An 18,115-nucleotide genomic window follows, 5' to 3' on the forward strand; every position below is an offset into this window, starting at 1 on the left:
AAATTGAAGGGATTTGAGTTCAATGCAATGGAATAGAATGGAATGCAAAGGAAAGGAAAGGTACGGAGTGAAATCGAGTGTAATGGAATCGAATGGAATGAAATCGAATGGAATGGACTCAAAAGAAATGGAAGAGGGACAAAACGGAATCGAACTGATTGGAATCGAACGGAACGGAATGGAATGGAATGGTCTCCATTGGATCGGAGTAGAACGCACTGGAATGGAATGGAATGAAATGGAATGGAAAGGAATAGAATGGAATGGAATGGAATGGAATGGAATGGAATGGAATGGAAGGTAATGGAAAGATATCGAACGGATTGGAAAGGAATGGAATGGACCCTAATGGAATGGAATGGAATTCAACAGAAACGAATGGAATGGACTGGAGTGAAATGGAGTCAAATGTAATTGACTGGAGTGGAATGGACTCGAAAGGAATGGACTCGAATAGAATGGACTGGAATGGATTGTACTCGAATGGAGTGGAAAGGAATAAAATGGATTCCACCAGATTGGAATGGAACAGAATGTAATGGAATGGAATGGAATGCAATGGAATAGCTCCAATGGAATGGAGTCGAATGCAATGGAACAGAAAGGAAAGGAATTGAATGGAATTGAAAGTAATAGAACAAAATGGAGTGCAAAGGAAAGATATTGAATGGAATGGATCGAAAAGAAATCGAATGGAATGGTCAGGAATGGAATGGAATAGAATGGAATAGACTGGCGTGCAGTGAAAACTAATGGAATGGAAACGAATGGAATGCAATGGAAAGGAATGGAGTAGAATAAATACTATGGAATGGAATGGAGGCGAAAGGAAAAGAATAGATTGGAATGTCAACGAATGGAAAGATATGGAATGGAAAGGAATGGATACGAATGGAATGGAATAGAAAGGAACGGAAAGGTAAAGAATGGAATGGAATCGGATAGAATGGAATGCAATGTAATGGAGTCGAATGGAAAATAATCGTGTAGAATGATATCGAATGGAATGGAATTGAATGGAATGGAATGGAATGGACTCGAATGGAATGTACTCAAATGGATTAGAATAGAATGGAATGGAACTAAACGTAATGAACTCGAATGGAATGGACACAAATAGAATGGAAGAGAAAGGAATGGTATTGAATGGAATTTATTCGAATAGAGTGGAATTCAATGGAATGCAACAGTGTGGCATGGAATCAAATGGAATGGAATCGAATGGAATGGACCCGAGTGGAATGGACTCACATAGAACAGCCTCGAATGTAATGGATGACAATGTATTAGATTCGAAAGGACTGAAATCGAATGGAATGTAATCAAGTAGAACGGAATTGAATGCATGGAATGGCATAGAAAGTAACGCAATGGAATGGAATAGACTGGAATGGAATGGAATCGGATGGAATGTAATGAAATGTAATGGAAGGAATGCCATGGAATGGAATGGAATGGAATGCAATGGGACGGTGTATAATGGAGTGCAATGGATTTCAGTGGAATGTAGTCCAAAGGAAAGAAATAGAATGGAATTCAATATAATGGAATGGCATCCAATGGCAAGGAATGGAGCGTACTCCAATGGAAACGACATGAAAGGAATATAATAAAATGGAATGGCATTGAACGAAATGGAATGCAATGGAGTTAAAAGGTAAAATATCGAATGGAAAAGAATTGAATGGACTCGAAAGGAATATAATGGAATGGAATGGACTCGAATGGAATGTACTAGAGTTGAATGGAATCGAATGGAATGGAAAACAATGGAAAGGAAAGGAAGGGAATTGAAAGGAAAGGAATAGAATGGAATGGAGTCGGATGGAACGGAATTGAATGGAATGGAAACTAAAGGAATAGAATAGAAAGGAATCGCATTGAATGGAATGGAATAGAATGGAATCAGATGGAACAGAAAGGAATGGAATAGAATCGAATGGAATGGCATCGAATGGATGGAATGAAATGTAATGGAATGGAATAGAAAGGAATGGAATGGACTCGAATGGAATGTCCTCAAATGGAATAGAATAGAATGGAATGGAAGTAAATATAATGGACTCGAATAGAATGCATTGGAATAAATTGGAATTGAGTGTATTGGATTCGAATGGAAAGGAATGGAATGGAATGAATGGAATGGAATGGAAGGGAATGGAATGGATTCGAATTGAATGGAATGGAATGGAATGGAATGGAATGGAATGGAATGGAATGGAATGGAATGGATTCGAATGGAATGGAATCGAATGGAATGGAGCGAATTGGAATGTAATTGAATGGAGTCAAAAACAGTAGAAAGAAATAAAGTTTCATCGAATGATATCGAATGGAATTGAATGGAATGTACGCGAATGGAATGGACTGGAATGGAATGGAGTGACATGTAACGGAATCGAAAGGAATGGAATCCAATGAAATGGAATTGAATGGAATAGAAATGAATAGAATGGAATGGAGATTAACGGAAAGATATTAAAATAATGGAATGGAATTGAGTGGACACGAATGGAATGGACTGGAATGGAAAGGACTCGAATGAAATGGAGCGCATTAGAATGGACTGGAATGGAATGGATTGGAGTGGAATGGTCTCGAATGGATTGGAAAGCAATGGAATGGAAAGGAATAGAATGGAATGTAATCAAATGGAACGAAATGGAATGGAATGTATTCGACTGGAGCAGAATTGAATGGAGTGGAATTGAATGGAATGGAATGCAATCGAATGGAATGGACACGAATCAAATAGAATGAAATGAAATGGCATAGAATGGAATGGAATGGAATGGAATGGAATGGAATGGAACGGAATGGAATTAAATGGAACGGAATGGAATGGCATGGAATGGAATGGCATGGCATGGAATGGAATGGAATGGAATGGAATGAAATGGATTGGAATGGGATGGGCCCAAAAGTAATAGACTCAAATAAAAGGGACTCAAATAGAATGAACTGGAAAGAAACGGTCTCGAATGTAATTTATTCGAATAGAATGATATTGAATGGAATGCAATAGTATGGAATGGTATCGAATAGAATGGAATAGAATGGAATGGAATGGAACGGAATGGAGTGCAATTGAACCGACTCAAATGCAATAAATTGCAATATAATTGATTCAAATGGAATGGAATTGAATAGAATGTAAACAAATGGAATGGAAGGCAATGCAATGGAAAGGAATCGAATGAAATGGAATAAATGGAATGGAATGGAATGGAATGGAAAGGACGCGAATATATTGGACTGTTAAGGAAAGGTGTCAAATCGAATTTATTCCAATAGAATGGAATCGAATGGAATGCAATACTATTGAATCGAATCGAATGGAATGGAATTGAATGGAATGGACAGGAATGGAATGAACTGGAAGTGAATGGACAGGAACGTAATATATTGCAATGTAATTTATTCAAATGGAATGGAATGCAATCGAATGGAATGGACTCGATTGGAATGGACTGGAGTGGAATGTACTCAAATGGAATGGCAAGGAATGGAATGGAATGGAATGGAAAGCAAAGGAATCTACTGGAATAGAATCGAACGGAACAGAAAGGAATGGAATGGAATGGAGTGGAATGGACTCGAATGGAATGTATTCGAATGTAATGGACCTAAAAAGGAATGGAATCCAATGGAATGGAATTGAATGGAATCAAAAGGAATAGAAAGGAATAGAGTGTAATTGAATGATATCGAATGGAAGGGAATAGAATGAACTCGAATGGAATGCACTGGAATGGAATGGACTCGATCAGAACGGACTGGAGAGGAATGTACACAAATGGAATGGAAACGAATGGAATGGAATGAAATGGAATGGAATGAAATGGAATTGAAAGGAACGGAATCAAATGGAATGGAATGGAATGGAATGGATTGGAATAGAATGGATTCAAATAAAATAGAATCGATGGGAATGGTATTGAATGAAAGGGACTTGAATGGAAAGGAACCGAATGGAATGGAATGGACTCAAATGTGATGGACACCAATGGAATCGACTGAAATATAATAGTGTCGAAAGGAATGGCCTCGAGCGGAATTTATTTGAATAGAATGGAATCAATTGGAATACAATACCATTGAATGGAATCGAATGGAATGGAATCGAATGGAATGTAATCAAATGGAATGGAACGGAATTCAATATAATGGAGTAGAATGGAATGCATTGGAAAGGAGCAGACTGGAATCAAGTGGAATGGCATCGAGTGGAATGGAATCGAGTGGAATGGAATCAATGGGAACAAAATCGAATTGAATGGACTTGAATGGAATTGACTCGAAAGGAATTGACTCGAAAGGAATGGACTGGAACAAAAAGGAATCAAATGGACAGGAATGGGATGGAATGGACACGAATGGAATGGAGTCAAATGCAAACGCATCGAATGGAATGGATTCAAATGGAATGCAATGGAATGGAACAGAAAGGAAGAGAATGGAATTGAGAGTAATGGAAAGATATCGATTGGAATGAAATGGAATGGAAAGGAATTGAATGGAAAGGAATGGAGTGGAAAGAAATGGATTGGAATGGAATGGTCTCCATTGGAATGGACTGGAGTGGAATGGAATCGAATGGAAGGAAAAGAATGGAACGGAATGGAACGGAAAGAATAGAATGTTATGGAATCCGATTGGACAGAATGGAATGGAATGGAGTTTCATGAAATGGAGTCGAATAGAGTGGCATCAAAAGGAATGGAATGGAATGGAGTGGACTCAAAAGGAATGGACTCGAAAGGAATGAAGTCCAACCAAATTGAATTAAATGGATTGGAGTCGAACAGAATGGAATGGAATGGAATGAACTCGACTGGAGTAGAGAGGAATGTAAAGGAATAGAATGGAATGTAATCAAATGGACTGCAAGTGAATGGAATCAAAAATAATAGGAATGGAGTTTAAAGGGATGATATTGAATATAATGGAATGGAATGGAATTTAATGGAATGGAGACGAAGGAATGGACAGGAATGTAATGGACTCCAATGGAATGGAATGGATCAAAATGGATTTGAACAGATTGGAATCGAACGGAATGGAATGCAATGGAATGGAATGGACTCGAATGGAGAAGAGACAAATGGAATGGAAACGAATTCAATGGAATTGAAAAGAATAGGATGGAATGGCGTGTAATGGTAAGATACTAAATGGAATGGAATTGAATGGAATGGAATGGACCCAAATGTAATGCACTCGAAAGGAATACACTCAAATAGAATGGAATCGAAAGGAAAGGTCTCAAATGGAATTTATTCAATAAAATGGAATCGAATGGAATGCAATAGAATGGAAAGGAATCGAATGTAATGGAATCAAATAGAATGGACCAGAATGGAATGGACTGCCATAGAACGGACTGCAGTGTAATTGATTGAATTCTAATTCATTCAAATGGAATGGAATTGAATGGAATGGAATCCAATGGAATGGATAGGATTGTACTGGAATGGAATAGCATGGAATGCAACGGAGTGGAATGGAGTTGAATGAAGTGGAATGGAATCGATTGGAATGGAATCAAATGGAATGGACGGGAATGGAATGGACTGGAAGAGAACAGACTCGAATTTAATGGATTGCAATTTAATTGATTCAAATGGAATGGAATCGAATGGAATGTAATAAAATTGAAGGGATTTGAGTTCAATGCAATGGAATAGAATGGAATGCAAAGGAAAGGAAAGGTACGGAGTGAAATCGAGTGTAATGGAATCGAATGGAATGAAATCGAATGGAATGGACTCAAAAGAAAAGGAAGAGGGACAAAACGGAATCGAACTGATTGGAATCGAACGGAATGGAATGGAATGGTCTCCATTGGATCGGAGTAGAACGGACTGGAATGGAATGGAATGAAAAGGAATGGAAAGGAATAGAATGGAATGGAATGGAATGGAATGGAATGGAATGGAAGGTAATGGAAAGATATCGAACGGATTGGAAAAGAATGGAATGGACCCTAATGGAATGGAATGGAATTCAACAGAAACGAATGGAATGGACTGGAGTGAAATGGAGTCGAATGTAATTGACTGGAGTGGAATGGACTCGAAAGGAATGGACTCGAATAGAATGGACTGGAATGGATTGTACTCGAATGGAGTGGAAAGGAATAAAATGGATTCCACCAGATTGGAATGGAACAGAATGTAATGGAATGGAATGGAATGCAATGGAATAGCTCCAATGGAATGGAGTCGAATGCAATGGAACAGAAAGGAAAGGAATTGAATGGAATTGAAAGTAATAGAACATAATGGAGTGCAAAGGAAAGATATTGAATGGAATGGATTCAAAAGAAATCGAATGGAATGGTCAGGAATGGAATGGAATAGAATGGAATAGACTGGCGTGCAGTGAAAACGAGTGGAATGGAAACGAATGGAATGCAATGGAAAGGAATGGAGTAGAATAAATACTATGGAATGGAATGGAGGCGAAAGGAAAAGAATAGATTGGAATGTCACCGAATGGAAAGATATGGAATGGAAAGGAATGGATACGAATGGAATGGAATAGAAAGGAACGGAAAGGTAAAGAATGGAATGGAATCGGATAGAATGGAATGCAATGTAATGGAGTCGAATGGAAAATAATCGTGTAGAATGATATCGAATGGAATGGAATTGAATGGAATGGACTCGAATGGAATGTACTCAAATGGATTAGAATAGAATGGAATGGAACTAAACGTAATGAACTCGAATGGAATGGACACAAATAGAATGGAAGAGAAAGGAATGGTATTGAATGGAATTTATTCGAATAGAGTGGGATTGAATGGAATGCAACAGTGTGGCATGGAATCAAATGGAATGGAATCGAATGGAATGGACCCGAGTGGAATGGACTCACATAGAGCAGCCTCGAATGTAATGGATGACAATGTATTAGATTCGAAAGGACTGAAATCGAATGGAATGTAATCAAGTAGAACGGAATTGAATGCATGGAATGGCATAGAAAGTAACGCAATGGAATGGAATAGACTGGAATGGAATGGAATCGGATGGAATGTAATGAAATGTAATGGAAGGAATGCCATGGAATGGAATGGAATGGAATGCAATGGGACGGTGTATAATGGAGTGCAATGGATTTCAGTGGAATGTAGTCAAAAGGAAAGAAATAGAATGGAATTCAATATAATGGAATGGCATCCAATGGCAAGGAATGGAGCAGACTCCAATGGAAACGACATGAAAGGAATATAATAAAATGGAATGGCATTGAACGAAATGGAATGCAATGGAGTTAAAAGGTAAAATATCGAATGGAAAAGAATTGAATGGACTCGAAAGGAATATAATGGAATGGAATGGACTCGAATGGAATGTACTAGAGTTGAATGGAATCGAATGGAATGGAAAACAATGGAAAGGAAAGGAAGGGAATTGAAAGGAAAGGAATAGAATGGAATGGAATCGGATGGAACGGAATTGAATGGAATGGAAACTAAAGGAATAGAATAGAAAGGAATCGCATTGAATGGAATGGAATAGAATGGAATCAGATGGAACAGAAAGGAATGGAATAGAATCGAATGGAATGGCATCGAATGGATGGAATGAAATGTAATGGAATGGAATAGAAAGGAATGGAATGGACTCGAATGGAATGTCCTCAAATGGAATAGAATAGAATGGAATGGAAGTAAATATAATGGACTCGAATGGAATGCATTGGAATAAATTGGAATTGAGTGTATTGGATTCGAATGGAAAGGAATGGAATGGAATGGAATGGAATGGAATGGAATGGAATGGATTCGAATGGAATGGAATCGAATGTAATGGAGCGAATTGGAATGTAATTGAATGGAGTCAAAAACAGTAGAGATAAATAAAGTTTCATCAAATGATATCGAATGGAATTGAATGGAATGTACGCGAATGGAATGGACTGGAATGGAATGGAGTGACATGTAACGGAATCGATAGGAATGGAATCCAATGAAATGGAATTGAATGGAATAGAAATGAATAGAATGGAATGGAGATGAATGGAAAGATATTAAAATAATGGAATGGAATTGAGTGGACACGAATGGAATGGACTGGAATGGAAAGGACTCGAATGAAATGGAGCGCATTAGAACGGACTGGAATGGAATGGATTGGAGTGGAATGGTCTCGAATGGATTGGAAAGGAATGGAATGGAAAGGAATAGAATGGAATGTAATCAAATGGAACGAAATGGAATGGAATGGATTCGACCGGAGCAGAATTGAATGGAGTGGAATTGAATGGAATGGGATGCAATCGAATGGAATGGACACGAATCAAATAGAATGAAATGAAATGGCATAGAATGGAATGGAATGGAATGGAATGGAATGGAATGGAATGGGATGGAATGGAATGGAATTAAATGGAACGGAATGGAATGGCATGGAATGGAATGGCATGGCATGGAATGGAATGGAATGGAATGGAATGAAATGGATTGGAATGGGATGGGCCCAAAAGTAATAGACTCAAATAAAAGGAACTCAAATAGAATGAAGTGGAAAGAAACGGTCTCGAATGTAATGTATTCGAATGGAATGATATTGAATGGAATGCAATAGTATGGAATGGTATCGAATAGAATGGAATAGAATGGAATGGAATGGAACGGAATGGAGTCCAATTGAACCGACTCAAATGCAATAAATTGCAATATAATTGATTCAAATGGAATGGAATTGAATAGAATGTAAACAAATGGAATGGAAGGCAATGCAATGGAAAGGAATCGAATGAAATGGAATAAATGGAATGGAATGGAATGGAAAGGACGCGAATATATTGGACTGTTAAGGAAAGGTGTCAAATCGAATTTATTCCAATAGAATGGAATCGAATGGAATGCAATACTGTTGAATCGAATCGAATGGAATGGAATTGAATGGAATGGGCAGGAATGGAATGAACTGGAAGTGAATGGACAGGAACGTAATATATTACAATGTAATTTATTCAAATGGAATGGAATGCAATCGAATGGAATGGACTCGATTGGAATGGACTGGAGTGGAATGGACTCAAATGGAATGGCAAGGAATGGAATGGAATGGAATGGAAAGCAAAGGAATCTACTGGAATAGAATCGAACGGAACAGAAAGGAATGGAATGGAATGGAGTGGAATGGACTCGAATGGAATGTATTCGAATGTAATGGACCTAAAAAGGAATGGAATCCAATGGAATGGAATTGAATGGAATCAAAAGGAATAGAAAGGAATAGAGTGTAATTGAATGATATCGAAAGGAAGGGAATGGAATGAACTCGAATGGAATGCACTGGAATGGAATGGACTCGATCAGAACGGACTGGAGAGGAATGTACACAAATGGAATGGAAACGAATGGAATGGAATGAAATGGAATGGAATGAAATGGAATTGAAAGGAACAGAATCAAATGGAATGGAATGGAATGGAATGGATTGGAATAGAATGGATTCAAATAAAAGAGAATCGATGGGAATGGTATTGAATGAAAGGGACTTGAATGGAATGGAAAGCAATGGAAGATATTGGAATCGAATGGCATCGAATGAAATGGAATGGAACGGAATGGAACGGAACCGAATGGAATGGAATGGACTCAAATGTAATGGACACCAATGGAATCGACTGAAATATAATAGTGTCGAAAGGAATGGCCACGAGCGGAATTTATTTGAATAGAATGGAATAAAATGGAATACAAAACCATTGAATGGAATCGAATGGAATGGAATCGAATGGAATGGAATCAAATGGAATGGAACGGAATTCAATATAATGGAGTAGAATGGAATGCATTGGAAAGGAGCAGACTGGAATCAAGTGGAATGGAATCGAGTGGAATGGAATCAATGGGAACAAAATCGAATTGAATGGACTTGAATGGAATTGACTCGAAAGGAATGGACTGGAACAAAAAGGAATCAAATGGACAGGAATGGGATGGAATGGACACGAATGGAATGGAGTCAAATGCAAACGCATCGAATGGAATGGATTCAAATGGAATGCAATGGAATGGAAGAGAAAGGAAGAGAATGGAATTGAGAGTAATGGAAAGATATCGATTGGAATGAAATGGAATGGAAAGGAATTGAATGGAAAGGAAGGGAGTGGAAAGAAATGGATTGGAATGGAATGGTCTCCAATGGAATGGACTGGAGTGGAATGGAATCTAATGGAATGAAAAGAATGGAACGGAATGGAACGGAAAGGAATAGAATGTTATGGAATCCGATTGGACAGAATGGAATGGAATGGAGTTTCATGAAATGGAGTCGAATAGAGTGGCATCAAAAGGAATGGAATGGAATGGAGTGGACTCAAAAGGAATGGACTCGAAAGGAATGGAGTCCAACCAAATTGAATCAAATGGATTGGAGTCGAACAGAATGGAATGGAATGGAATGAACTCGACTGGAGTAGAGAGGAATGTAAAGGAATAGAATGGAATGTAATCAAATGGATTGCAAGTGAATGGAATCAAAAATAATAGAAAGGAATGGAGTGTAAAGGGATGATATTGAATATAATGGAATGGAATGGAATTTAATGGAATGGAGTCGAAGGAATGGACAGGAATGTAATGGACTCCAATGGAATGGTATGGATGAAAATGGATTTGAACAGATTGGAATCGAACGGAATGGAATGCAATGGAATGGAATGGACTCGAATGGAGAAGAGACAAATGGAATGGAAACGAATTCAATGGAATTGAAAAGAATAGGATGGAATGGCGTGTAATGGTAAGATACTAAATGGAATGGAATTGAATGGAATGGAATGGACCCAAATGTAATGCACTCGAAAGGAATATACTCAAATAGAATGGAATCGAAAGGAAAGGTCTCAAATGGAATTTATTCAATACAATGGAATCGAATGGAATGCAATAGAATGGAATGGAATCGAATGTAATGGAATCAAATAGAATGGACCAGAATGGAATGGACTGCCATAGAACGGACTGCAGTGTAATGGATTGAATTCTAATTCATTCAAATGGAATGGAATTGAATGGAATGGAATCCAATGGAATGGATAGGATTGTACTGGAATGGAATAGCATGGAATGCAACGGAGTGGAATGGAGTTGAATGAAGTGGAATGGAATCGATTGGAATGGAATCAAATGGAATGGACGGGAATGGAATGGACTGGAAGAGAACAGACTCGAATTTAATGGATTGCAATGTAATTGATTCAAATGGAATGGAATCGAATGGAATGTAATAAAATTGAAGGGATTTGAGTTCAATGCAATGGAATAGAATGGAATGCAAAGGACAGGAAAGGTACGGAGTGAAATCGAGTGTAATGGAATCGAATGGAATGAAATGGAATGGAATAGACTCGAAAGAAATGGACGAGGCACAAAACGGAATCGAACTGATTGGAATCGAACGGAACGGAGTGGAATGGAATGGTCTCCATTGGATCGGAGGAGAACGGACTGGAATGGAATGGAATGAAATGGAATGGAACAGAATAGAATGGAATGGAATGGAATGGAATGGAATGGAAGGTAATGGAAAGATATCGAACGGATTGGAAAGGAATGGAATGGACCCTAATGGAATGGAATGGAATTCAACAGAAACTAATGGAATGGACTGGAGTGAAATGGAGTCGAATGTAATTGACTGGAGTGGAATGGACTCGAAAGGAATGGACTCGAATAGAATGGACTGGAATGGATTGTACTCGAATGGAGTGGAAAGGAATACAATGGATTCCACCAGATTGGAATGGAACAGAATGTAATGGAATGGAATGGAATGCAATGGAATAGCTCCAATGGAATGGAGTCGAATGCAGTGGAACAGAAAGGAAAGGAATTGAATGGAATTGAAAGTAATAGAACAAAATGGAGTGCAAAGGAAAGATATTGAATGGAATGGATCGAAAAGAAATCGAATGGAATGGACAGGAATGGAATGGAATAGAATGGAATAGACTGGCGTGCAATGAAAACGAATGGAATGGAAACGAATTTAATGCAATGGAAAGGAATGGAGTAGAATAAATACTATGGAATGGAATGGAGGCGAAAGGAAAAGAATGGATTGGAATGTCACCGAATGGAAAGATATGGAATGGAAAGGAATGGATACGAATGGAATGGAATAGAAAGGAACGGAAAGGTAAAGAATGGAATGGAATCGGATAGAATGGAATGCAATGTAATGGAGTCGAATGGAAAATAATCGTGTAGAATGATATCGAATGGAATGGAATGGAATGGAATGGACTCGAATGGAATGTACTCAAATGGATTAGAATAGAATGGAATGGAACTAAACGTAATGAACTCGAATGGAATGGACACAAATAGAATGGAAGAGAAAGGAATGGTATTGAATGGAATTTATTCGAATAGAGTGGAATTCAATAGAATGCAACAGTGTGGCATGGAATCAAATGGAATGGAATCGAATGGAATGGACCCGAGTGGAATGGACTCACATAGAACAGCCTCGAATGTAATGGATGACAATGTATTAGATTCGAAAGGACTGAAATCGAATGGAATGTAATCAAGTAGAACGGAATTGAATGCATGGAATGGCATAGAAAGTAACGCAATGGAATGGAATAGACTGGAATGGAATGGAATCGGATGGAATGTAATGAAATGTAATGGAAGGAATGCCATGGAATGGAATGGAATGGAATGCAATGGGACGGTGTATAATGGAGTGCAATGGATTTCAGTGGAATGTAGTCAAAAGGAAAGAAATAGAATGGAATTCAATATAATGGAATGGCATCCAATGGCAAGGAATGGAGCAGACTCCAATGGAAACGACATGAAAGGAATATAATAAAATGGAATGGCATTGAACGAAATGGAATGTAATGGAGTTAAAAGGTAAAATATCGAATGGAAAAGAATTGAATGGACTCGAAAGGAATATAATGGAATGGAATGGACTCGAATGGAATGTACTAGAGTTGAATGGAATCGAATGGAATGGAAAACAATGGAAAGGAAAGGAAGGGAATTGAAAGGAAAGGAATAGAATGGAATGGAATCGGATGGAACGGAATTGAATGGAATGGAAACTAAAGGAATAGAATAGAAAGGAATCGCATTGAATGGAATGGAATAGAATGGAATCAGATGGAACAGAAAGGAATGGAATAGAATCGAATGGAATGGCATCGAATGGATGGAATGAAATGTAATGGAATGGAATAGAAAGGAATGGAATGGACTCGAATGGAATGTCCTCAAATGGAATAGAATAGAATGGAATGGAAGTAAATATAATGGACTCGAATGGAATGCATTGGAATAAATTGGAATTGAGTGTATTGGATTCGAATGGAAAGGAATGGAATGGAATGGAATGGAATGGAATGGAATGGATTCGAATGGAATGGAATCGAATGGAATGGAACGAATTGGAATGTAATTGAATGGAGTCAAAAACAGTAGAAAGAAATAAAGTTTCATCGAAAGATATCGAATGGAATTGAATGGAATGTACGCGAATGGAATGGACTGTAATGGAATGGAGTGACATGTAACGGAATCGAAAGGAATGGAATCCAATGAAATGGAATTGAATGGAATAGAAATGAATAGAATGGAATGGAGATTAACGGAAAGATATTAAAATAATGGAATGGAATTGAGTGGACACGAATGGAATGGACTGGAATGGAAAGGACTCAAATGAAAACGAGCGCATTAGAATGGACTCGAATGGAATGGATTGGAGTGGAATGGTCTCGAATGGATTGGAAAGGAATGGAATGGAAAGGAATAGAATGGAATGTAATCAAATGGAACGAAATGGAATGGAATGGATTCGACTGGAGCAGAATTGAATGGAGTGGATTTGAATGGAATGGAATGCAATCGAATGGAATGGACACGAATCGAATAGAATGAAATGAAATGGCATAGAATGGAATGGAATGGAATGGAATGGAATGGAATGGAATGGAATGGAATGGAACGGAATTGAATGTCATGGAATGGAATGGCATGGCATGGAATGGAATGGAATGGAATGGAATGAAATGGATTGGAATGGGATGGGCCCAAAAGTAATAGACTCAAATAAAAGGGACTCAAAGAGAATGAAGTGGAAAGAAACGGTCTCGAATGTAATTTATTCGAATAGAATGATATTGAATGGAATGCAATAGTATGGAATGGTATCGAATAGAATGGAATAGAATGGAATGGAACGGAATGGAGTGCAATTGAACGGACTCAAATGCAATAAATTGCAATATAATTGATTCAAATGGAATGGAATCGAATAGAATGTAAACAAATGGAATGGAAGGCAATGCAATGGAAAGGAATCGAATGAAATGGAATAAATGGAATGGAATGGAATGGAAAGGAGGCGAATATATTGGACTGTTAAGGAAAGGTGTCAAATCGAATTTATTCCAATAGAATGGAATCGAATGGAATGCAATACTATTGAATCGAATCGAATGGAATGGAATTGAATGGAATGGACAGGAATGGAATGAACTGGAAGTGAATGGACAGGAACGTAATATATTGCAATGTAATTTATTCAAATGGAATGGAATGCAATCGAATGGAATGGACTCGATTGGAATGGACTGGAGTGGAATGGATTCAAATGGAATGGCAAGGAATGGAATGGAATGGAATGGAAAGCAAAGGAATCTACTGGAATAGAATCGAACGGAACAGAAAGGAATGGAATGGAATGGAGTGGAATGGACTCGAATGGAATGTATTCGAATGTAATGGACCTAAAAAGGAATGGAATCCAATGGAATGGAATTGAATGGAATCAAAAGGAATAGAAAGGCATCGAGTGTAATTGAATGATATCGAAAGGAAGGGAATGGAATGAACTCGAATGGAATGCACTGGAATGGAATGGACTCGATCAGAACGGACTGGAGAGGAATGTACACAAATGGAATGGAAACGAATGGAATGGAATGAAATGGAATGGAATGAAATGGAATTGAAAGGAAGGGAATCAAATGGAATGGAATGGAATGGATTGGAATAGAATGGATTCAAATAAAATAGAATCGATGGGAATGGTATTGAATGAAAGGGACTTGAATGGAATGGAAAGCAATGGAAGATATTGGAATCGAATGGCATCGAATGAAATGGAATGGAACGGAATGGAACGGAACCGAATGGAATGGAATGGACTCAAATGTAATGGACACCAATGGAATCGACTGAAATATAATAGTGTCGAAAGGAATGGCCTCGAGCGGAATTTATTTGAATAGAATGGAATCAAATGGAATACAATACCATTGAATGGAATCGAATGGAATGGAATCGAATGGAATGGAATCAAATGGAATGGAACGGAATTCAATATAATGGAGTAGAATGGAATGCATTGGAAAGGAGCAGAGTGGAATCAAGTGGAATGGAATCGAGTGGAATGGAATCGAGTGGAATGGAATCAATGGGAACAAAATCGAATTGAATGGACTTGAATGGAATTGACTCGAAAGGAATTGACTCGAAAGAAATGGACTGGAACAAAAAGGAATCAAATGGACAGGAATGGGATGGAATGGACACGAATGGAATGGAGTCAAATGCAAACGCATCGAATGGAATGGATTGAAATGGAATGCAATGGAATGGAACAGAAAGGAAGAGAATGGAATTGAGAGTAATGGAAAGATATCGATTGGAATGAAATGGAATGGAAAGGAATTGAATGGAAAGGAATGGAGTGGAAAGAAATGGATTGGAATGGAATGGTCTCCAATGGAATGGACTGGAGTGGAATGGAATCGAATGGAATGAAAAGAATGGAACGGAATGGAATGGAAAGGAATAGAATATTATGGAATCCGATTGGACAGAATGGAATGGAATGGAGTTTCATGAAATGGAGTCGAATAGAGTGTCATCAAAAGGAATGGAATGGAATGGAGTGGACTCAAAAGGAATGGACTCGAAAGGAATGGAGTCCAACCAAATTGAATCAAATGGATTGGAGTCGAACAGAATGGAATGGAATGAAATGTACTCGACTGGAGTAGAGAGGAATGTAAAGGAATAGAATGGAATGTAATCAAATGGATTGCAAGTGAATGGAATCAAAAATAATAGAAAGGAATGGAGTGTAAAGGGATGATATTGAATGTAATGGAATGGAATGGAATTTAATGGAATGGAGACGAAGGAATGGACAGGAATGTAATGGACTCCAATGGAATGGAATGGATCAAAATGGATTTGAACAGATTGGAATCGAACGGAATGGAATGCAACGGCATGGAATGGACTCGAATGGAGAAGAGACAAATGGAATGGAAACGAATTCAATGGAATTGAAAAGAATAGGATGGAATGGCGTGTAATGGTAAGATACTAAATGGAATGGAATTGAATGGAATGGAATGGACCCAAATGTAATGCACTCGAAAGGAATATACTCAAATAGAACGGAATCGAAAGGAAAGGTCTCAAATGGAATTTATTCAATACAATGGAATCGAATGGAATGCAATAGAATGGAATGGAATCGAATGTAATGGAATCAAATAGAATGGACCAGTATGGAACGGACTGCCATAGAACGGACTGCAGTGTAATGGATTGAATTCTAATTCATTCAAATGGAATGGAATTGAATGGAATGGAATCCAATGGAATGGATAGGATTGTACTGGAATGGAATAGCATGGAATGCAACGGAGTGGAATGGAGTTGAATGAAGTGGAATGGAATCGATCGGAATGGAATCAAATGGAATGGACGGGAATGGAATGGACTGGAAGAGAACAGACTCGAATTTAATGGATTGCAATGTAATTGATTCAAAGGGAATGGAATCGAATGGAATGTAATAAAATTGAAGGGATTTGAGTTCAATGCAATGGAATAAAATGGAATGCAAAGGATAGGAAAGGTACGGAGTGAAATCGAGTGTAATGGAATCGAATGGAATGAAATGGAATGGAATGGACTCAAAAGAAATGGACGAGGGACAAAACGGAATCGAACTGATTGGAATCGAACGGAACGGAATGGAATGGAATGGTCTCCATTGGATCGGAGTAGAACGGACTGGAATGGAATGGAATGAAATGGAATGGAAAGGAATAGAATGGAATGGAATGGAATGGAAGGTAATGGAAAGATATCGAACGGATTGGAAAGGAATGGAATGGACCCTAATGGAATGGAATGGAATTCAACAGAAACGAATGGAATGGACTGGAGTGAAATGGAGTCGAATGTAATTGACTGGAGTGGAATGGACTCGAAAGGAATGGACTCGAATAGAATGGACTGGAATGGATTGTACTCGAATGGAGTGGAAAGGAATAAAATGGATTGCACCAGATTGGAATGGAACAGAATGTAATGGAATGGAATGGAATGCAATGGAATGGCTCCAATGGAATGGAGTCGAATGCAATGGAACAGAAAGGAAAGGAATTGAATGGAATTGAAAGTAATAGAACAAAATGGAGTGCAAAGGAAAGATATTGAATGGAATGAATCGAAAAGAAATCGAATGGAATGGACAAGAATGGAATGGAATAGAATGGAATAGACTGGCGTGCAATGAAAACGAATGGAACGGAAACGAATGGAATGCAATGGAAAGGAATGGAGTAGAATAAATACTATGGAATGGAATGGAGGCGAAAGGAAAAGAATGGATTGGAATGTCACCGAATGGAAAGATATGGAATGGAAAGGAATGGATACGAATGGAATGGAATAGAAAGGAACGGAAAGGTAAAGAATGGAATGGAATCGGATAGAATGGAATGCAATGTAATGGAGTCGAATGGAAAATAATCGTGTAGAATGATATCGAATGGAATGGAATGGAATGGAATGGACTCGAATGGAATGTACTCAAATGGATTAGAATAGAATGGAATGGAACTAAACGTAATGAACTCGAATGGAATGGACACAAATAGAATGGAAGAGAAGGGAATGGTATTGAATGGAATTTATTCGAAAAGAGTGGAATTCAATGGAATGCAGCAGTGTGGCATGGAATCAAATGGAATGGAATCGAATGGAATGGACCCGAGTGGAATGGACTCACATAGAACAGCCTCGAATGTAATGGATGAC

At 38.1% G+C, this 18,115-nt stretch overlaps 1 annotated feature.

Annotated features, from left to right (window-relative positions):
- Positions 8,138-8,647: an enhancer, noted in NCBI's record as "OCT4-NANOG hESC enhancer chrY:13717077-13717586 (GRCh37/hg19 assembly coordinates)". NCBI's record gives its function as "activates a minimal SCP1, AML or CMV promoter by ChIP-STARR-seq in naive H9 embryonic stem cells {active_cell/tissue: H9 hESC(naive)}" and the evidence as "EXISTENCE:reporter gene assay evidence [ECO:0000049][PMID:30033119]".

The sequence above is a fragment of the Homo sapiens genome, chromosome Y (assembly GCF_000001405.40).
Source record: "Homo sapiens chromosome Y, GRCh38.p14 Primary Assembly".
In the NCBI taxonomy this organism is placed as follows: Eukaryota; Metazoa; Chordata; class Mammalia; order Primates; family Hominidae; genus Homo; species Homo sapiens.